The sequence below is a fragment of the Homo sapiens genome, chromosome 4 (genome assembly GCF_000001405.40).
Source record: "Homo sapiens chromosome 4, GRCh38.p14 Primary Assembly".
Taxonomy (NCBI): Eukaryota; Metazoa; Chordata; class Mammalia; order Primates; family Hominidae; genus Homo; species Homo sapiens.
The window spans coordinates 85,551,934-85,574,596 of NC_000004.12; the positions used below are offsets into that span (position 1 = coordinate 85,551,934).

Here is a 22,663-nt window from a genome sequence, read left to right on the forward strand (position 1 = left end):
CTAATGGTCTACCTTATTTATTATTTAAAAAACTCATGGATTCATTGATCTTTATCTTTTGTATGTTTATTCCAGTCTTGATTTCCTTAAGTTCAGCTCTGATTTTGGCTATTTCATGTCTTCTGCTAGCTTTTGGGTTGGTTTGCTCTTGTTTCTCTAGTTCCCCTAGGTGATGATGTTAGGTTGTTAATTTGAGATCTTTCAGACTTTTCCATGTGGGCATTTAGCACTATAAACTTTCCTCTTAACACTGCTTTAGCTGTTTCCTAGACATTCTGGCATGTTGTATCTTTGTTCTCATTACAGTCAAGGAATTTCATGATTTTTGCCTTAATTTCATTGATTAACCAAAGGTCATTCAGGAGCAGGTTGTTGAAATTCCATGTAATTATATGGTTTTGAGTGATTTTCTTAGTATTGATTTCTATTTTTGTTGAGCTGTGGTCTGAGAGAGTGGTTGGTATGATTTCAGTTTTTTTGAATTTGTTGATTGTTTTATGTCCAATTGTGTGGTTGATTGTAGAGTCCATGCCATGTTGTGATGAGAAGAATGTATATTCTGTTGTTTTTGAGTGGAGAGTTCTGTAGATTTGTTAGGTCCATTTGGTCAAGTGTTGAGTTCAAGTCCTGAATATTTTTGTTAACTTTGTGCCTCTATGATCTGTCTAATACCATCAGTGGGGTATTGACATCTCCCGTGATTATTGTGTAGAAATCTTACTCTCTTTGTAGGTATCTAAGAACTTTCTCTATGAGTCTTGGTGCTCCTGTGTCAAGTGCATACATATATTTAGGATAGTCAGGTATTATTGAATTGAATACTTTACTATTATGTCAGTCCCTTCTTTGTCTTTTTAAAAAATCTTTTTTGGTTTAAAGTCTGTTTTACTAAAATTAGGATAGCAACCGCTGCTTGGTAGATTTTTCTCTATCCCTTTACTTTGAGCCTATGGATGTCATTGTGTGTCCAGAATTAGTTCCTTCTGGTGCATTCTTGGTCTCGCTGGTCTCGCTGACTTCAAGAATGAAGCCGCAGACCCTTGCAGCGAGTGTTACAGTTCATAAAGGTGGTGTGTCCAGAGTTGCTCATTCCTCCCGGTGGATTTGTTGTCTCACTAGCTTCAGGAGTGAAGCTGCAGACCTTCGCAGTGAGCATTACAGTTCATAAAGGCAGTGCATCCAGAGTTGTTCATTCCTCCCAGTGGGTTTGTGGTCTCGCTGGCTTCAGGAGTGAAGCTGCAGACATTCTCGGTGAGTGTTACAGCTCATAAAGGTAGTGTGGACCCAAACAGTGAGCAGCAGCAAGAGTTACTGTGAAGAGTGAAAGAACAAAGCTTACACAGCAGGGAAGGGGACCCGCAGTGGGTTGCCGCTACTGGCTCAGGTGGCCTGCTTTTATTCCCTTATTTGGCCCCACCCACATCCTGCTGATTTGTCCATTTTACAGAGAGCTGATTGGTCCATTTTACATAGTGCTGATTGGTCCGTTTTACAGAGTGCTGATTGGTCTGTTTTACAGAGTGCTGATTGGTGCATTTACAAACCTTTAGCTAGACACAGAGCGCTGATTGGTGCATTTACAATCCTTTAGCTAGATAGAAAAGTTCTCCAAGTCCCCTACCGGATTAGCTAGACACAGAGCACTGATTGGTGCATTTACAAACCTTTAGCTAGACACAGAGCACTGATTGGTGAATTTACAATCCTTTGGCTAGACAGAAAAGTGGTCCAAGTCCCCAGCCGACCCAGAAGCCCAGCTGGCTTCACCTCTCAATTGCATGTGAGATGAGTCTCTAGAAGACAGCATACCATTGGGTCTTGCTTCTTTATCCAGCTTGCTACTCTGTGCCTTTTAATTGGTGCCATTGAGCCCATTTACATCCAGCATTAATATTGGTATGTGGAGATTTGATCCTGTCATGGTGTTGGTAAATGGTTATTATGTAGACTTGTTTTTGTGGTTGTCTTATATTCTCAGTGGTCAGTTTACTTAAGTGTGTTTTTGTAGTGGTGCATAACATTCTTTCTTGTCCATATTTAGCACTCCTTACAGAACCTTTTGTAAGGCATGTCCAGGGTTAATGGATTCCATCACCATTTGCTTGTCTTACTTCTCCTTTGCTTATGATGCTTAGTTTGGCTAGATATAAAATTATTGGTTGCAAATTCTTTTCTTTAAAAATGCTGAATATAAGCCTTCAATCTCTTCTGGTTTGTGGAGTTTCCGCTGAAAGGTTTGCTGTTAGTTTGATGGGTTTCACTTTTTAGGTCACCTATGCCTTCTCTCTAGCTGCCTTTAACATTTTTTCTTTCATTTTGACCTGGGAGACTCTGATGATTCTGTATCTTGAGGATGGTCTTCTTGTGTAATATCTCATAGAAATTCTCTGCATTTCCTGATTTTGAACATTGGCATCTCTAGCGAGGTTAAGGAAGTTTTCATGGATAATATCTTAAAATATGTTTTCCAAATTGCCTGTTATCTCCTCATATCTTTCAAGGACACTGGTGAATTATAGATTTGGTCTCTTTACATAATCCCATATTTCTCGTTTTTATTCTTTATTTTTTATTTTTGTTCAAGTTAGTTTAGAGAACCAGTCTTTGAGCTGTGAGATTTTTCCTCAGCTTGATTTATTCTGCTGTTAATGCTTGTGATTGCATTATGAAATTATTGTAGTGTGTTTTTCAGCTCTATCAGATCAGTTTGGTTCTTTTTATTTTTATTATTATTATTTTTTCTTCTTAGATGGAGTCTCACTCTGTCACCCAGGCTGGAGTGTTTGTAGTGCAGTGGTGCTATCTTGGCCCACTGCAAGCTCCACCTCCCGGGTTCACGCCATTCTCCTGCCTCAGCCTCCTGAGTAGCTGGGACTACAGGTGCCCGCTATCACGCCCAGCTGATTTTTTTTTTTTTTTTGTATTTTTAGTAGAGATGGGGTTTCACTGTGTTAGCCAGGATGTTCTCAATCTCCTGACCTCGTGATCTGCCCACCTCAGCCTCCCAAAGTGTTGGGATTACAGGCATGAGCCACCGCACCCAGCCAGTTCTTTCTTATAGTGGCTATTTCATCTAACTGCTCCTGTATCATATTTTATTGTAATCCTTAGAATTCTTGGATTGGGTTTTGACTTTCTCCTGAATCTTGATGCTCTTCGTTCCTATCCATATTCTGATTTGTATTTCTTTCATTTCAGTCTTTTCATCCTGGTTAAGAATTCCTGCTGTGAAACTAGTGCAGTTGTTGAGGAAATCAGACACTCTGGCTTTTTGAGTTGCCAGAGTTCTTGTGCTGGTTCTTTCTCATCTGTGTGGGGTGATTCAATGCAGCTGCCACACCCCACCATGTGCTTTAGTTTGAGTACAGTCAGTTGACTTCTTTTCAGGATGTTTTTGGAGGGTTGAGGCTTTGTGCAGGAACTTTATTTGTGGCTGAGTTCTTGTCCTTGGTTTCACAGTGTGGGCAGAAGGTGGCCTATATTAGCAAAGTATTTTTGTTGTTGAAGTTTGGGTTGTGATCAAGTAGGTGGTGCTTAAGCATAATGACCAGTAGGTAGGCTCTTGCTTAGTCACTTCACTGCTTTGTATTTCCTCATGACTGCGATATGCTCCCTCTCTGTGCTCTAAGAGTGTGGAATCCTCTCCCACTCAAGTCCTGGCTATAGCTCTTGGCTTGGCACTTCTTGGCTGCACACTGCAGCCCTGGGTGAGCTCAGGCTTTATGTTCCTTTCTAGCTGGGAGGCAGCAGGAGAAGGGACCTTGCCATGGGTAGGGACATGTGGAAGAGGGCCTTTCACTTGTCTCTCAGGTTTCCATATCAGAAAATGGCAGAGCCACTCCCAGTTGGGGCTATCAGCCTGGGGTGGGGTGGCTGCATTGTGGACTCAAGCCAGGGGGCCCTGCATATTGATGAGCAGAGAGGCCAGGTGGCTCATGGGGGGAAACTGACTGGCTTCTTCTTTTTAGGACAGCAGTGGCTGTCCTAAAGGAGGTGTGGTTAAATCACTGAGAGTCTTTGCTCCTTTTCCAGTCTGAGGGCAGCAAGGACAGTACCACTGCAATGGCAGTGGCAGAGGGGCTTTTGGTTGCCTCTGGAAGCTTCATCTCAAGAGAAACACAGAGCAACTGCTACTGGGAATGTTCAGCTGGTGGGTGGGGGTGACTGCAACTGCTGGCCCAAGCTTGGGGCCCGACTGGGTGAAGAGTGGGGGTTTGAGGGCTCACAGAGAGGAGAGCCTGAGCTTCTCTCTATATAATAACTGTGGTGTGCTAGAAGTATGAGTAAAACCCTCAGGTTCTTTATTTCTTCCCCAGACTGAGGGCATCAGGTACAGAGAGGCTGTTGGTTGCCTCTGGGATCACCTCCCCAGGGAAACACAAAGCCATTAGCAATGGGAATTCTCAGTTGCGGGTGGAGGAGCTCTTCAGTGATCTTGAGGCAAGACCCCTGCCTGGTGAAGAGTGGGGTGTGGGAGCTCGCTGGAAAGAGACTGGGCTCCTCTCCATATGATAGCTGCAGCTTGCTGGAGGTTTCAGCATAGCAACCAGGCCCTTTGTTCCTTCCCCAGCCCGAGGACAGTCAGGGCAGTACTGCTGCAACTGCAATGTCATACATGCTCTGGGTTGTCTCTGGGGTTTCCTCCTCAGAGAAATGCAGAGCCACCACTGACTAAAGTGTTCAGGTGGGGGCAGGTTAATCATATTGGGGGCCCAGGTCAACAGGCACTGCCGAGTGAAGGGTAGGGGAGGTGGGGACGCATGTGGAAAACAGTCTGGCTGCTTTTCTGTAAGGTGGCTGCACTGTGCTGGGCATCTCCATAGGTCTCCAACCACTCCACTCCCTCCTGAGCCTGAGGGCAATAGGAGCAAGGGCTGCAGGACAGCAAAAATGGTGCCCTGCCTCCCTCTAGGAGCTCTATCCCAGGAAAGTGTAGAGCTGCTACCATTCTGAGAGCCCAGGAGGGGGTCACTAAAGTCCCAGGTTTGGAGGCCCTGCCCAGTGAGCAGTAGCAGAGGTGGAGACCTATGTGGAACACAGTCTTGTCCCTTTTCCATAAGGCAGCTCTGCCGGGGGTCTGGGAGAGTCCCGAGTCACTGCACACCCTCTGGAGCCTGAGAGCAACAGGAGGGTGGGTTGCAGAGAAACAAAAATGGCAGGCTACCTCTCCCTCTGGGAGCTCTGTCCCAGGGAATTGCAGAGCTGCTCCCTGCCCAAGAACTCAGGTGGGGCTGGGGTGGCCTCACCAGCACCCCAGGCCAATGGGCCTTATCCTGCAAGGTGCAGTGGAGGCATGGCTTGCAGTCCATCACTGCTCAGCTGTGGATTTGGTTCCTTTCCTGCAGGCATGTGAGGGAGGCTGACCTTCCCCATTGCTGGACCTGCAGCCACTGGTGCCAGGGTGCCTGAGGATCCAAGGCTCCCAGGACTCCATGTGTGCTTGAGCAGGGCTCTGCCCAGACTCCCACGTAGTTCTCTGTGTTGGTCTGGAGGCCGCAGCAGGGGAGTTTGCGGGGATTTCCTGAGCAGAAGTGGTAGAAGTGTGGGTCCCTGAGGACTCTCACTTACTCACTGTTTCCCCAGTGTGGTGACTCCCCTGGCTCTGGGCCACTCCAGGTGGGCAGTTTTCCTGTCTCACTCTTCTCTGTTCTCTGTGGGTCATGCTGTTTCCCTGATGAATCCCAATGTGTTCACCTGGATGTTCCGGTTGAAGAGCTAGTGTCAACCCACCACTCTTTATTCTCTCCGTGAAAGCAGTGCACACTGGCTGCTGCTAGTCAGCCATCTTGGCCTCCATGTAGAAATATTTCTGTAATCATTTCCTAGCTTCCAGGTATCCTGGCATTTTCCCTGTGGATCTCCCAATTCCTCTGGTCACAGAAGACTACATATTCTTAGTGATGTCTTTTGATGAGCACATATTTTTTATCTTTAATGAAGTGTACATTATAATTTTTATGCTATTACTTTATCCTTTCTAAGTGAATCATTCCCTTTCCTCAGGTTACAAATGTATTTGGGTTCTCTCTCCATTCCTCTCTCACACCAGCTTGTCTCTGCATAGCGTCATTTTACAAATGGCTTTGCTAAAAGGGAAGATGAATGCCGCCAACCTCAGATGCTCATCCTTTCAGTGTCTTCCCTATCCTAAGGGAAGACTCTACTTGGCACTGTCTGAGTCACATGTCCATTTCCTGGGCCAGTCACTGTTGCTAGGGAGCTCAGGTTCTATGAGCAACTAAGTTCAAGCCCATCCCTTTAGCAAAGGGATGGTGGCATCAACGAGAAAAACATGGGATGAGGGAGAGGGGAGTCCTCAGAGACAGGCTCTTGGATACTTCAAATAACATATGTGCCACCAAACTTCTTAATTTTAAAAAATTATGTTTTATGTAGAAGATTTATTTCTCTTTCTCTAAACTGCTAATTAAATGTATTCAGGTGCAGTAAAGCTACATTTCTGTTTAGCATATCTAAAACTAAAGTGTGAAATAATCAGATATTTTGAAGTGCTAAAATATGTTCAAATTATATGTGAATAGCAGTACTTCATCAAAGATCACAGTTTAACACATCAAAGTCTACCATAATATGAATGATGCTATTATTTTCACTTTGACAAAAGTTTTTCCCTACCTTCCTCAGATTCTAAAAAAAAAAAAGTTGTGTTGTCCATACCTCCATATAAGAAACCACTGGGAGAGCAACTGTGGTTTAGTGATTAGCACAAGATTTATATACTTAGAAAGCCTAATCATTTTGCTAGGCTTTAGAGCAAGCCTGACGATGTTCCACCCACAGGATTAATTGACAAAAATGAGTGGTCCTTATTGGAAATCATTAAGTACCTCGGGGTTTTCATTTGAAGGAGAAAATTGGAGAGTTCATTGTAGACAAATGACTATCTCCATCAAAGTTACCCACTTGTAAAATATTTTCTTTGAAGTGTAGTTGAATAAATAGCTGGCCCCACTGAGGGGCTTGAAATGATAATGCAATCAACAACATTTGATTCTCCTAGGTCAGACTCACTAAAGGAACCTGATATTAAAAGTAGTGTTTCAGGAAAGCTTTCATCTTAGCTTAAAAATTATAGACATCAGGGAAAGTGCTGGAGGGGCTCTATAAATTATAGGCACAGCAGTTATTTCCCCATAATGAGGAAAGGACCCAGCTGACTTTCTCAGTGTCATACGGGCTTCAGCTTTCCTCTCTCAATTCTCTCTGCTATGTGCATAAAGCTCTCCTTCATTACTGCCATTGCTCTCCCATCCCTTGGGTATTATAATCCTATTACTTTTCAGATTTAGGTGTGGAAAACCTCTTAAAAATTAATAAATGAGTTCATTTTAATTGACAAATAAACATTATATACATTGGTCATGTACAACATCATGTTTGGAAATACACATACATTCTGGAATGGCTAAATTGAACAAATTAACATAAACATTACCTCACATCCTTATTTTTTGTGATGAGAACACTTGAGATCTACTCTTAGCAATGTTTAAGAACACAATACATTGTTATAGTCATGTTATACAATAGACCTCTTGAACATTTTCCTCCTGTCTAATTGGCATTTTGTATATTTGGACCAACATCTTCAGAAGCCTTCTGGGCCTCCCCAAATTTCTTTTCTTTGTGACAGTTTTTCAAAACAAAATCATATTAATAAACTATGGGTGAGGGAGTGGAGTACACACAAAAGCTTAAAAATTGAGATGTTTATAACATCATGTTTCTGATCCTATTTTGAGGGGTCTAGTCACAGATTCAATTAATAAATATAAAATAAGAGACATCCAACTTCTTTTCATCTTCCCTGCTTCAGGCTTGTTTTCTTTGTTTCTCTGTGGCCATATGATGAAATGATAGTTGCCGTCTTCACTTTCCATTAAAATAAGTTGAATTTCTCATCTTTTCCCGTTTCAGATGCCATTGCTTTTGGAAAAGCACTGGAGTTTCTATTTGATATTTAAGGGATATCTTCAGTTCTTAGTTTGTCTACAGAATTGAATTAGCAAAGAGTCTTTCTTACCTTTCCATATATGATTGGTTGGTTGTGACTGCCTAGAGTACTGGATTGAGATGGCATCTGGGGGTGAACACAGGTGATTAATTAATAATGTCTGCCTTGGGCTTCACAAGCAGCAGTTCTTTCTTAATCCCAATCAATGGTAAAGTATATGTTTTGATTTGATTTTTGTTTCTACTCAGGTTATCAGCATGGGGAATTCCAGTGGTTGTCTTTTTTATTTGTCCTTCAGATATCACTGTGGTGGTGAAGGGCAGTTCTAAGTATATATTAAAGTATTATACATATATTAAAATTAATATATATAATTTTCTCTCTAGTTGAATTAAAGCCATCTTAAGAGGGAAAAGATTCTCTCTACAATGTATGAGGCATTAAGTAGACAACAAAAGCTAAATTCTTAGGAGAAATTTCCTTTTTTATGGTTCATTTCAGTAAGTCATTTTGATTTCTTAGCAAATGAATACGGAAACGTTGAAGCTTAAAATATAATATGGAGATTGATGTTCCTGATCCATCCCAATATACACATCATTTTTTGCTATTGTCTATTCTGTGATGTTTTGAACAATTTAATCAAGCAACAGGATTTTGTAGTGTTTCTTCATGAAAATAACTGTACGTAAGTTCCCCCAGGTATGCCCTTCTGGTGACTATTTTTGACTTTATATTCGTGGCTGTTGTGCTTCATTTAATTCCCATTGTTCTTTTCATGGTTATACTTTTCATTTTCAAGAAGAAATGTTTATTTTTAACTCAAATCATGATTAAGAGTAGCATCCAGTGAGACAAATGGCAATCCACTTGGTTCAATCATTTTTGAAGTTCAGTTTAGCTTTAAGCCACTAAATTTGGGTTAGGTTTAAAAGAGAGAATTGGTCATGATGTCCTTGCATTTGTGTCTAGTAACAACGGCAAATGTTTTATGATTTTTGTACAGTACTCAGGATCTTTGAGGGCTTTGGTGTCAATTTTAATGTAGACCCCAAAGACTGACTGAAACACAAAGATGGATTGAAGCATTCATTCACTTATTCATCAGTTTGCCATTTATTTAACAATTATTTGAGCATTCACTATATTCTAGTTCATCTGATGGGTTCCAGGGAGTCTATTGTGGTGTAGAACACTGAGAAGTAATAAAAACAAGGTCTACATGTGATAAGGGTCATGTCCAGGATGGTATCATGCAAGGGGAACTTTCAGAGCGGGGTGGTGGTGGCACCAGGGAAGCCTTTGTAGAAGACCTGAAGGATAAATAGAAGTTAACCATGATGTCCAGGCAGTGGGAAAACCACAGGTGAAAGTCCTAAGCCCTTCCAGCTACTTTAAGAAATCCAATTGCTTCCCATAAACATATTTAGGCTCCTGGAATTTGTATCAGAGCTAAAACAATCTCTATTACATCCTTTGTTATTTTGGACCTAGAGGATTGATTCCCTTGTCGGCACCACATTTTGATTTATTCTTCAAGAAAAAGGTGGTATGGTGGAGAGTGAGGGGACAGAAAGTGAACTGAGAAAACTCATCTGTTTTCTTTAGTTAGCAGTTACTTTTTCCCCTTATTGTAAGTCACTAAGATCTAATTATTTAAATATTTTTCGTTATGTAGTTTTTGGTAAATGCACATGTTTGCAAAACCTTCTATATGTCCTTCTCTGCATCCTAGCTCTTGTATGAATCTTTAGCTATCTGGTATATTTTTTTACCATTTTATAGTTTTATGCTTTTTGGTAGTTTTATGCCTTAGGAGGTGTTCATGCATTCGACACGTAACTGTGTATTTAATGGCCACTCTCTGCTACCTCTGCTCAATACACTGGTTAGAAGGCCTCCATCCTCAAGGTGCTCATGTGCCAAAGGGGAGACAGAGAAATGACAAGGAAAACCGAATACAAAAGGGATTCTCGTGTGCTGTGGAAAAAATAAAATAAGGAAATATGATAGAATGTGGTGAGGGATGAAGGATGGTTCTAGTAAGGGAGGCCGAGGCGGGCATCTATAATAAGGCAACATTTGAACTGAGAATTGAACTGAGAATTGAATGGTGAGAAATTAGCTGTTCAAAGATGTGAGGGAAGTGTTCAAGGAAAGGTAGGCAGGGATTGTTAGGGGCCATATAGGCCGTGACAAAGAATTTGGATTTAACTCTGAGTGGAAGTGTTTAACTATTAGATAGTTTTAGAATGGTGGTAACATGACTTGATTTGCTTTCTAAAAGAAAATGCTAATGCTATGGAAAGAATCCATCATATCACTGTGCTAGGAATGAAATCAGAGATTAGATTAAATAGAAGGCTATGATAGTAATCAAGGAAAGCGATGTGATTACTATGATAGTAATCAAGGAAAGACACTGGATTTGCACTGTGTCTTCTACAGAGTAGGCACTCCATGAGTTCTAAAGGTATTGCTCATTCTCAGTACACTTAGTTTTATGTGAATTTGTGTGTGTGTGTGTACGTGTGTCTGTCTGTGTGTATGAACAAGATTTTATTCAAGGTTGAGCCACATAGCTACATAATTTTATGTCTGACACAGGGTAGAACATGGAGATTTAGACTTTTATGATGGAAATGAAAATGTTTGTCCTTGACTCTTGCCCCTTCTCTCTACCACCACCTGTGCTTCCATATTCCACTTGCATTCCTCCCATTTATACTTATACTCCCTAATAGTATCCTCCTACCACACTCTTACTTTCAGCCAACCATCCATAAACTAGGAGGTGGTACTGACAAATTCATCCTAATTGTGTTCCTGGCTTCCCCAGACCTGAGATGCAGAATATCAGGAATGGCGTGATTGGGACAAGGAAAGTGGGCAGAAACTTGAAGGCAACAATAGGCTTTGCCACATTTAGCAAGAAAGAATGACACTAAGTTCAATGTTGAACTATCATTGTTACCGTAGGTGAGGTTAGGAAGGGTAGTGAGGGTGACAAAAAGTTGAAGCATCTGCAGCTTGGAAGAGTCTAAGGCCAGAGTTCCTAGAGCAGAGCTTGAGGTGAGAATTGTTGCTCAAGTAATTTATTATGGAATGCACTCAGGAGAAGGGAAGTGAGGGAAGCAGGATGGGGCAGGGAATCAAGTTCAGTATAAACTGGCTTTGACCTAATCTCATGCAGAAGCTCTGGAGCACAGACTGAAATACAAAGTTCCCTATGAGTCAAGAAGGCTGCCTTTGTTACTCCCTTTCTAGTTAGTCATTGGCTAAGGTTTGTGGTGACCAGCCAACATTCAGACCCTGTGGTGGAGTGGGCACAATGGCAGGTATCTTATTCTTCTCAGGCTTCCATAGCAAGATACCATAGACTGTGTGGCTTAAACAACAGAAGTTCATTTCTGACAGTTCTGGAGGCAGGGAAGTCTAAGATCAAGGTGCTGGTAAGGTAGGTTTTGTTCTGAAGCCTCTTTTCTTGGCTTGTAGGCGACCAACATATTGCTGTGTGCTCACATGAGCTCTTCTTTGTGTGGATGCAGAAAAAGAGACCACAAATTTTCTGGTGTCTCTTCTTATAAGGGCACTAATCCCATTGGATCAGCACCCCATCCTCATGACCTCATCAAATCCTAATTACCTCCTAAGGGCCCTATATCCAAATACCATCACACTGGGTGTTGGGACTTCAACATATGAATTTGGAGGGCACAAAACATTCAGTCCGTAACAACAAGTAAGAGGATTCTTTGTGGGGCACTAACTTCTGCTATAGGTAGTGAGGATTAGGAAGGATGGCATTCATTGCATCCAGGGAAAATCTAGATGGAGTTGGAAAATGGACAAAGGAGAGATTTGGTAGGATTCAACTTTCACATTCAACATTCACAGCTGAGCCAATGTAGAGAGCTGAACACATTAAATCAAGTAAGGGGTGACTGACTTTACATGAGAAAAATGCTTGTTATGTCATTTTATCCTGAAATTATTTAAATATTTAGGACACTAAAAGAGTTCCAGGTTCTAAATCAGGTACACAGCTACAGTTATTGAGGAAATGTTCTGAGAAATGATAAAAATAAATCTATCACTCCACTGATTGACTTTAATAATAGCACAATCAGGTTTTTTAGTAAACACTGGATGGCAACACTCTTATGTCCTTTGCTTCATCAAAGAATGTCAGATCTGCAGGCATATGCTTACATGACTTCCAGTGCCATGGCACTGAGTATTTAAAAAATGAGAAAAGAATACCAACAAATATTTTGTCGTTAAAGATGTTGTTCTTGCGATAGTTTGCTGAGAATGATGGTTTCCAGCTTCATCCATGTCCCTAAAAAGGACATGAACTCATCATTTTTTATGGCTGCAAGGACAAAAAAAACAAGCACTGTATGTTCTCGCTCATAGGTGGGAATTGAGCAATGAGAACACTTGGACACAGGAAGGGGAACATCACACACCGGGGCCTGTTGTGGGGTGGGGGGAGCGGGGGGGATAGCATTAGGAGATATACCTAATGTAAATGACGAGTTAATGGGTGCAGCACACCAACATGGCACATGTATACATATGTAACAAACCTGCATGTTGTGCACATGGATCCTAGAACTTAAAGTATAATAATAAAAAAAAATTAAAAAAAAAAGATTTTGTTTTCTAGAGCAGTGGTCCGCAACCTTTTTAACACCAGGGACCAGTTTCACGGGGTGAGGGGGAGATGGTTTGGGGATGAAACTGTTACACTTCAGATCATCAGACATTAGTTAGATTCTCATAAGGAGCGCACGACCTAGATCCCTTGCTGGGCAGTTCACAATAGGGTTTGAGCTCCTATGAGAATCTAATGCCACTGCTGATCTGACAGGAGATGAGGCTCAGGCAATAATGCTCGCTTGCCTACAGCTCACCTCCTGCTGTGTGGCCCCGTTCCTAACTGGCCACAGACTGGTACTGGTCTGTGGCCGAGGGGGTTGGGGACCCCTGCTCTAGGCAGAACACACACGGTATATATATATATATATATATATATATATATATATATATATATATACCCACACCCACCATACACCCACACATACACACACCCATACACATATGTGCACTTGCATGTATACCTATAAACACATGCGCATGCTGTCTCATTTCTTTTGTAAGTTTTTGTAGTGTGAACAGTCATGTACAGAAAGGATATACCTAGCACGTAGACATACAGCTCAATATAATATCCTGCCGCTTGACAAACCAGCCTATTAGCAATACCTATAAAATAAACTATTTTGTTTAAAATAAGAAAAAGTAGAATTTAGGTAAATATTGGCTCTCTGCAGTTATATACTGTGTACAGTGGAATCACATCTTGAAAAGGATTTATGTTCTAAAGTCAACACAAATGGTGACAATTGGTTGTGACCAAATTTCTTCTCAAAGTCCCACAAATCTCTCATAGGTTGCAGTATTTTACCAACATTGCCAGTTTTGTTTTGTTTTCTTCCCCAGCAATAGGACAGATCACTGTTTCTTTGACTGATTGAGGGGACATGAGGTAGGAAATCATGTGCACTCAAATTCTGGGAACACATTTATACAGTGAAATACTCACTCACCCCACCAGACGCCAAGGAAACTGACACTGATTGAAAGCATGGAGATGTATTTGGTCCCCTTCACTCTTGCCCTGGGAGCGTGCATTCACTGAGTGGATGCATTGTGGTGGAATTGCCTGTGTTATTTAAGTTGTTCCCTCGCCCTCTTTCCTTTTCTCTAGCTCTCTCCTACTATTTCATTCTCTCATGTTTGCTGAACATGTATAGTAAGGTATTGTAATTTCAAATACATTGCAACTCTGTGGTATGTGGCATCCTCTTTATTTACATCCTTGTTTATACGCATGCTTATATATTCTTTGTTGAAATGAAGTCACACATCTAAATATCTATGTGTGTATGGTTTGACTCTTAGAAGAGTTTTTCAGGAGCATGAATTTCGTCTCTGATTGCACCATGTCATACTGTTGTGTTCTTGGCCCATCTGGTTGCAACAAAGAACCATACAAACAGTTGTTGAAACCAGTTTCCTCCTCTGGAAAACAATTCAAAAGCTACAAGCCCATCAAATGCTGAGAACTGTCTAGCTATGGCGTGGTACAGTAGCCATCATTAAGGTTTTTGTCTTAAGATTGATACAAAGGCACAGGTTAATTTCTCAGTTCTGTTTTTGTTTTAGTTTGGAATAACTGTTTATTTAGATTATTACTTTGTTCATTGTTATGTTGGTTTTCTAACCAAGGTGATAGCTCTATTTTGTAATCTCACATACCACCCAGCTACCATGGCCTGACTTCAGTGAAAGTATTTTCCCAGCGGAGATTCAGTGAAATCATTCTCTGAGAATTTGAGTGAATAAACTGTACTTAGTGTTAAACCACAATTGGTTATGTGTATTTCCTGCCAAGACTAAAAAGTATAAATTCTGAATTTTTTTTCATAAGGGCAGTTTCAGGTTCTTTCAAGTGTAATGATTTTGACATTGTGTTTAAGAACAATTTTCATGCTAATTGAAGTCTTCTATGTCAAAGGAAAAAAGTCAAGTTCTTAGCGTACACATTCTTCTTTAAGGCATTAAATGCAATGAAAAAGAAGCCTCTAAAATATTCTTTGTAGAGATTCTTTTGTGATTATTGCAGAGCTCCATCTGTTGATTCAACAGGTTTATTGAGTACCAGGTAAGCACTATTAAAGGCACTGGGTATCACTGGGTATGCACAGCAAGGAAAGCCATGTCCTTGACCTCGTGAAGCTTATGGTCTCCTGGTGGGGTGATAGACAATAAACAACTAAAGACATAGCAATTTAGAGAAGTGTCAGGGAGACAAAGGACACAGTTCAGCGATAGAGAATAGAAAGAGGTTACCTGATTCACAGGGTGATTAGTGAAGGTTTTTGGAGGAGACAGATTTTAAGCCAAAACTTAGATAAAAAGGAGTTGAGCATGAAAAGAGCCCAAGACAGAGTTTTCTAGGCAGAAATCAGCAAGGGATAAAGGAGCTTGGCTGTTTCCAGAACTGAAAGGAGACAAGAGTGGTTAAGTATGTATGTGTATGGTATGGGGAGGGATGGGGAGAAGGTGGCATGAGATTAGGTTAGAGAGGTAAAGAGGTGCCAGATGATTCAGAGCCTTATAGGCCATGGTAAGACTCTGGATTTTGAAATAAGTACAGTGGGAAGCCAACAACATTTTCAGATGTTGAGAATCCTTATCTGATTTGAATCTTTAAAAGCTCGCTTTGGCTGCATTTTAGAGAATGAAATATGTGTGAGCATGTACCTGTGTGTTTGTGTTTATGGCTAAAAATGGAAGCAGTGAGACTCCTTGGAAGGCTATTAGAATCATCTCCTCAAAAGATAATAGTGGACTGCACCATAAGGTGGCAATAGAGATGAAGCCAAAAGGATGGATTTGAACTATTTTTTAGAGGTATTCTGAATTTACTGATTGATTTGATATCCGGGGTGAGGAAGAGTTATGAATCAAATGATCAGTTTTCTGTATATTTTTCTTTGCAACTGGGTGTATCATGGTGTCATTTACTAAGATCAGGTTTGGGGGAAGATCATGTTTCAAAGGGAGATCGTGTTCACTTTTAGACACTTAGTATGAAACCTATTGCAAAATTGATTACTTCATCAAACATTGATTGAGCTTCACTGCATGCCAGACATCGTACTGAGTAGTAAGGGTATCTGATGTCCCTACACTTATGGAATTACAGAGATGATAGATTTCAGAGTGCTAGAAGAGACCATAGTTGGAAATAATCCAGCCCAGCATCCTCATTTTAAAGATGAAGTGTAGAATTTTAATCATTTTATTTCTCCAGAAATATTAAGACTTCTCTATAAAAATTATGGTTGTTTTAGTAAAACTTAATTTTCCTCATCTAACAATAGTTGTGGCATTTTTTCCCTTAGGCATATAAGTCTGTTTTCATTTCTGTTTTAATGAATTGTTACAATTAGTCTTCAATTAGCATTAGTAAAGCACTTTCCGATGCATTCTGAAATCATAAAAATATAGGCATTATAGTCAGTTCAGTGGGCAATTTGTCATTGACTTCGGTCAGACTTATAAACAACATATGCAAAAGGAATCAGAAACCATGTTCTAGTGTACACACATTTCTCACTAAGGCATTAATGTACACAAAAGGGGAAATATCTACTTGTATTTTTTATATTATCAATGGTAGGTTGCTAATAACCTTGAAGCATTTTAGAGGGAATTTTTCAAACTTCATAGAAAGCATGAATTTGAGAGGAAAGAAAAAATTACCTAAGGGCCCTAAGTAATTTGTTGTGCAATGAATTCTAGATTTGTGTGTGCATGTTTGTTGCGGGGGGGAGGGGGGCGTGTGTGTGTGGTGGAATGTTTGTTTTAAGGTCCCATTTAACTTTATAAATTAAGGTGTTTGGTCAAAGAATAAATAGGCAGTGATGAAACAGCAAGTTGTGTAGATTTAAGCAGTTTAAATACCAGGAGATGAAAAAGATTATTTAGGGTGGTCTAGCTAAGCATACTTATTATCTAAATTACCTTACAGCATTAATTGTTCAGTTAGAGTGGAGTTCTTGGCTCATCATAGTAGGTCGGGTACTGCGAAAGAAAGGAGATGAAAGTTCCTGCTCTGCAGGGCATAGCAAATTGGAGGCATCAGGCATGGTCCAGTCTGCAGACACACGGGCACACACCTGAGGGGAGAGTGTTTTCTGCAATAAGTGGTTATGGTCATGGAATGCCCCATAGAGCAAAGGAAGTGTCCAGACGTATTGTAGAGACAGGGGCCTGTTTTTTAAGAAAGGAAAGAAGTGCGTATTGAATGAGACAGAAAATAGTCAAGTGACCTCCTTGAAGTTTAAAAGTAGTTTAAGAGGTGAAGATTAAGGCAAGGATAGTGATAGATTGAAATATATGCCAGTGAAGGAGGCAAATCTTCTGCAAAGATGGTTGAAGTTATTAAAATAAGAAGTAATTAGAACGAAAGTTCTGCTTCATCCCTGCAACAGGAATGGCAGGACTAAATTGAGAGAACTTGAAGTGCAATTATGGAAGATTTGACCCTGAGCCTTCAAGGAAGAAACAAAAATGACCAAGGGCTGACAATAGAAACTTCATGGAATTTATAAGTAGAATTGTATACATGCAAATTGATTAAAAAATAGTGATGAATATAAAGACCAGACAGAAAGACAGCTTGTCTTCCAGAATTGATCAGAAATGATAAAACAGGGACTTTGTTTATATGCCTGGACAGGAATAATCTACGTTTTATCAGATAATATATGCCTGGACAGGAATAATCTACGTTTTATCAGATAATCAATATCTTTATAACCTCATCAAAGACACAAGAGTTAGAGAGGGCTTCCCAATTCCTGAATAAATGTTTAGAAATAAACATTAGCAAGAATTTGGAAGAAGATTTTGGGACAGGAAAATCTCTTTTAACCACTTGTCCCTGGCTCCCCCAGAATGTCCACCTTCTCTGTTCTTACTGGGGCAGTTTTAGCATCTCACCTGTTGGTTAATATTTTTCCAATGAAGAACTCATTTTCTTGCTTATGTATAGGTAGTATGGCCGTATACTCCTTCACACATAACCTTAAAATATTCCTCATCATGTCATGACTGGTGCACACCACACCCTCCTGAAGCTTGAGAATGGCTGTAGGAGAAAGGAAAAAACTATAGAAAAAACTAGCAAAAGCAGGTGTTTTTGTTTGTTTGTTTTCTCTTAAACTTTTTCAGCTGTACGAATCCCTGACCAGCCAAAGAAATTGTTGAGGGAATAGTCTGGGAAACAGAGGGTAGAAACATCTTGAGATATGTTCACCTATGTAAGACAAATGTCTTCCATTAAGATTTTCTGAATAGTCTCTTGAAATGGGGACACACGTCAGGCTAGCTCTTGCTCAGGTAAACCTAGGCCTGCAGGGGCCTGTCCTAGGCTGTGCCCAACAGACACAGAGGCCATAATCTTGAGAGTTATGTTTTAGTTTGTTTATAGAAATTCCTTCTTCACACATTGCCTCTAGAACTTTCTCATTTTTCAGTTCTACTTAGGTTTTTTTTAGAAATTCCTTCTTCACACATTACCTCTAGAACTTACTTATTTTTCAGTTCTACTTAGGGACAAAGAGCACCACTCAGCTGCTGAATTCATTTAAGAAGGCAGGAGGGCACAACAAGCTCTCTCCACGTTTCCTCTGGGCATATTGTTGCCAGGTCTGTGGTTTGTGTCTAGAAATTTGGCCAATGAGTTGAGGAACATTTTTCACCCCTTCTCCCACTCCCTTCCCCTTCCCCTTTCCTTACCTTTACTTCCCTTGCTCTCTCTCTCTTTCTCTTTCTCTCTCTCTCTTTCTTTTTTTCTTTCTTCTTTCTTTCTTTCTCTTTCTTTCTTTCTTTCTTTCTTTCTTTCTTTCTTTCTTTCTTTCTTTCTTTCCTCTCTCTCTCTCTTTTTTTTTTTCTGGAGAAGAGTGGTTTAAAAGGGAGTTGAATATAACAGAGCACCTCATTATTTTCCTTTCTTTTTGTTTGCTAACTAGGAAAGTCCATCAGCTTGATAATGGAGGAGAACAATGACTCCACGGAGAACCCCCAACAAGGCCAAGGGCGGCAGAATGCCATCAAGTGTGGGTGGCTGAGGAAGCAAGGAGGCTTTGTCAAGACTTGGCATACTCGCTGGTTTGTGCTCAAGGGGGATCAGCTCTATTATTTCAAAGATGAAGATGAAACCAAGCCCTTGGTGAGTAGGAGAAAATGTAAAGCATTAAGGGCCTAAGAAAGCCAAGAAATAGAGGGATTTGCTAGAAACCGATTGGGACTGAGACCACCCAAAGCTCCCTGGTCTCCTTCAGTTCATTGTCATCTTTCACCCTTTTACCCATTGCTTGCTTTGAGTTGGAGATAATAAAATCGCTAATTGAGGCCAAGAGGCAAATTATACTTGTCTAATATTAATTTTAATATTTACTAAGCCAGAGGAGAAGGTCTCACTTCCTCTGGCAAACTTAGTTCATGAGAAAATTTTAGTAGACATCTGCTAAAAGATATATCATAGCCAAAACATCTTTCTTTTTCTCAGGAGTAAATGGAAAGCACAGGTTTGAAGGAAGAACTGTAGGCACAACTTTCAGTAATTTATGAGACATTTTCAGTATCAATTCTCAGAGGTTTCCCTCCATACCTTAACTCACATAAAATATGGATGTGGTACTAAACCAAATGACACTGATACATTCAACCAGCATACATAATGTACCAATCCTTCTGTGAATAGTCTCTGTTGCTTTGTAGTTCCTTAGTGGTTCTTTATTTGCTTATTTACTTATTTTCTCAACCACAAGTCTCAAGACTGCAATGAGAGAGAAGAATAATCTTCATCTGCATTTCCATAGTTGCAACAGTTTTCTCAGGTTCATCATGGCTTATCAGTTGATGAGAGGGTATGCAAACTGAGGCATCACTTATGTGTGTGTTTTTCATCTACGTCTATAGGATACATACATGAGAGAAGAAACATTTTAGATTCGTTTATATAAACAACCCTAACAGTATGTTCTTGAGGCTATTTCCTCTTGTGTTAAAGAACTTAATTAGGAATTTGGACCAGGTCTCTGCTTTAGTATTTTAAGTTCCTAAGGCATTATAATTTCATGATGTTCTCATTCCTCTAATTGAACTCCCTAAAAATAGCAATAAAAATACATGCTACAAACCTTGGTCTTTTTTTTTGAAATTGCTACTACTTTTTAGGCATTTACCAAGGCTGGACATCAGGCTAAAAATTACATATATTATCTTATGAAATACTTAAAATAATCCTATGAGGTAGGTATTGTTAACTCTCTTTGTGCATGAACACCAAGGTTTATGTGTAATGCAGATTACCCAAAGTTAAACAAACAGTGGTTTAATAATTTGTCTCAAGTAAGTTTGAGTTCGTATAGCTTTAGCCCAAGACATTGTAAGTAAATTAAGAAGGTCCCATATTGGTATCATGACAGTTATAGTACTTTCCATATCTGTTATTTCATTTGTCATTGCAAACCAGTGGGGAATATGGGGATTATTTTTACAGAGGAGGAAACTGTGGCTTAGAGATATGAAGTGATGTAATCAAGATCATAGGCAAATTAATGGAGTTTTTTTGTCTCCTATCTTACCCTCCACGGTTCTTTTCTAATTGCACCTTGTTTTATAATTATCTAATAATCAGATTAAGGTATTATCTTGAATATAAAATTATTTTTACCAAACTCAGAGAAAGGAACCAGGTTAATGTGAAAAGACAGAATTTAGGGGGTCCAATGTGGGGATTTCGTTACGGAGGAACACAGTGAATACTATCTGTGAAAAAATACATAGAGGGCCATATCCCAGGCGATATGATAATATCTTTTTTGAACAATTTAGGGCAGAGTTCCTCAAACTAGAATTCATGTGCACATTCTCTGACATTTGCACATTCTCAAATTTGAGAAACACGGACCACAGTCTTGGATCCACTGTATCTTCATGACTAGCAGGCACTCTAGTGGTTATATTGATTAAAAAGTTGAAAATATATATTTTAAAATGTAAAAACTCCAGATTAATTCAAATGAAAATCTACCTCAAAATGAAAATTATATTAATTCATAGTATTTCCAAGATAAATAGTATTTTTACATTAGCATGTTACTAGTATTACTAGTATTTGTAGACTTACTATAACTAAAATTAACAAAATAGACTTGTATTGACCAAAAAGTACTAATTCTTTTACAAACCAAACAGACCATCACCATCCCCCTAAAAATGTTTTTAAATTTTTCATTCTATGTATTATTTGTTAAAGATTTGTGATTAATAAAGCAGTTAAAATGTAGGATAAATAACTTTATTCTTTTTTCTTTCTTTTTTTTTTTTTTTTTTTTGAGATGGAGTCTCACTCTGTAGCCCAGGCTGGAGTGCGGTGGTGCGATCTCGGCTCACTGCAACCTCTGCCTCCTGGGTTCAAGCGATTCTCCTGTCTCAGGACCCCAAGTAGCTGGGACTACATGAGTGCGCCACCACACCCGGCTAATTTTTTGTATTTTTAGTAGAGACGGGTTTCACCGTGTTGGCCATGCTGGTCTTGAACTCCTGACCTCAGATGATCCACCTGCCTCAGCCTCCCAAAGTGCTAGGATTACAGGCGTGAGTCACTGCGCCCAGCCTTGGGAGAAATAACTTTGAATTTTCTTTTTTAACTAACTTTCATACAATTCAAGCACTGAGAATTTTAACATTGAGCTTTTTAATGTTTTGCCCTGATGTTTAAACACACGCATACAAATTCAGATTAAGAACTGACAATTTCTGTATCAGAGGGAACTTTGTAATATACAAACATTCTATATTGTTCTATGAGTGGCCTAATTTCTTCCCTTAAAATAGACCAAGTGAGAGTAGATGCCTGGCACATGGTAACTGTTAATAGCATATTTTTGAATGAGTTAATGAGTCAGTGGAATGTGTCTAGAGCCATGCAGCAGCAGGGCCAGGACCAAGGCACCATGAGTGATACTGTTCTCAACTCCCATCTATCAAAATCATGCTATTTAAAACAACAAAGTTTAAGCCACATTAAATAAGACCTGCAGTGATATATTGTAGAATATCTTTTAAAGAATCATAACATCTAAATGGAGAATAATTGAGCACCTTGAAAAATGTTGAAAGTGGAAAATAATTTGTCCTAAAACCTGTCATTTTGTATTTGTGTGTTTATGATTACATGTGTGTGGTTGTGTGTGTATCTGTGTGTAACAGCCAAAAGGACATTGTTAATAAGTGACAGATGAGGAGCTAGGAGTCACTTTCTTGCTTCTAGATCCAGTGCTTCCTCTGCCTCATCCTTGCCTTCTCATTAGTCCTCAACTTTCCTTTACCTTTGCTTTTAGTCAGAGGTATTTCTTGCTTTTTTCTTTTCACTTCAATGCTTCCAACGTAAGAATGTCCATGGTCTTCATATATTTTGATGCGGTCTATTTCAATAATATGGAGAAAATATCATGAGTAAAATTTTAAAAATTCTTTCTTTTAAACATTCCTAACCAGCTGGAAATATTCAATAATCTTAACTTGCTTTTTGTTTTTTTACTTTCTTAAAAGGCACTTCTAAAATGAGAGTATAAAACCCATGAAATGTGTGTCCTTCTTGTCCTTGGTTAAAGTTCTTAATTTATTATAGTAAATTTTCACTGAGTTGTTTTACTCAATAAAAAGAGTCAAATCAAACTCCATCATTATCCTTATTATGAAAAACTGCTCATCTGTTGAGGGAAAGCAAAATTATAATAATGACAGGCTACCCTGAAAATGCCGATGCTATGAGTACACAGGTACAGTTAGTGGCAAGGAGTGAGTGAGGACTGTCTAGAGGGCTTGGGAAGGGCTGCATAAGGCAAGAGGTGACCCTGACCTGGGATTTTGAAGGTAGATGTGAGTTTTCCAGGTAGATAAATTGGGGAAAGGAATTCAGAGCAGAGGAAAGACATGGAGTTGTAAAATAGATATCTATAGATAGCTCCATATTGCAAGGGTGAATGTATGGCAAGAATGCAGTTAGAGAGAAACGGGGGGCCCCAATGGAAA

General features: G+C 39.7%; 1 protein-coding gene across 1 annotated transcript in view, besides 2 other annotated features; it reads left to right on the top strand.

Moving 5' to 3' along the window:
* The window catches only part of ARHGAP24 (Rho GTPase activating protein 24), a 527,517-nt gene that overhangs the window by 76,784 nt on the left and 428,070 nt on the right, over positions 1-22,663 (top strand). The window contains exon 2 of the mRNA NM_001025616.3: positions 18,589-18,788. Coding sequence (NP_001020787.2) covers positions 18,609-18,788 — 180 coding nt within the window. The 5' untranslated portion in view covers positions 18,589-18,608. The remainder of the gene's footprint in view (positions 1-18,588; positions 18,789-22,663) is intronic.
* Positions 3,281-3,330: an enhancer, noted in NCBI's record as "active region_21691". NCBI's record gives its function as "activates an Ori minimal core promoter by ATAC-STARR-seq in GM12878 lymphoblastoid cells {active_cell/tissue: GM12878}" and the evidence as "EXISTENCE:reporter gene assay evidence [ECO:0000049][PMID:35858748]".
* Positions 5,383-5,782: an enhancer, noted in NCBI's record as "active region_21692". NCBI's record gives its function as "activates an Ori minimal core promoter by ATAC-STARR-seq in GM12878 lymphoblastoid cells {active_cell/tissue: GM12878}" and the evidence as "EXISTENCE:reporter gene assay evidence [ECO:0000049][PMID:35858748]".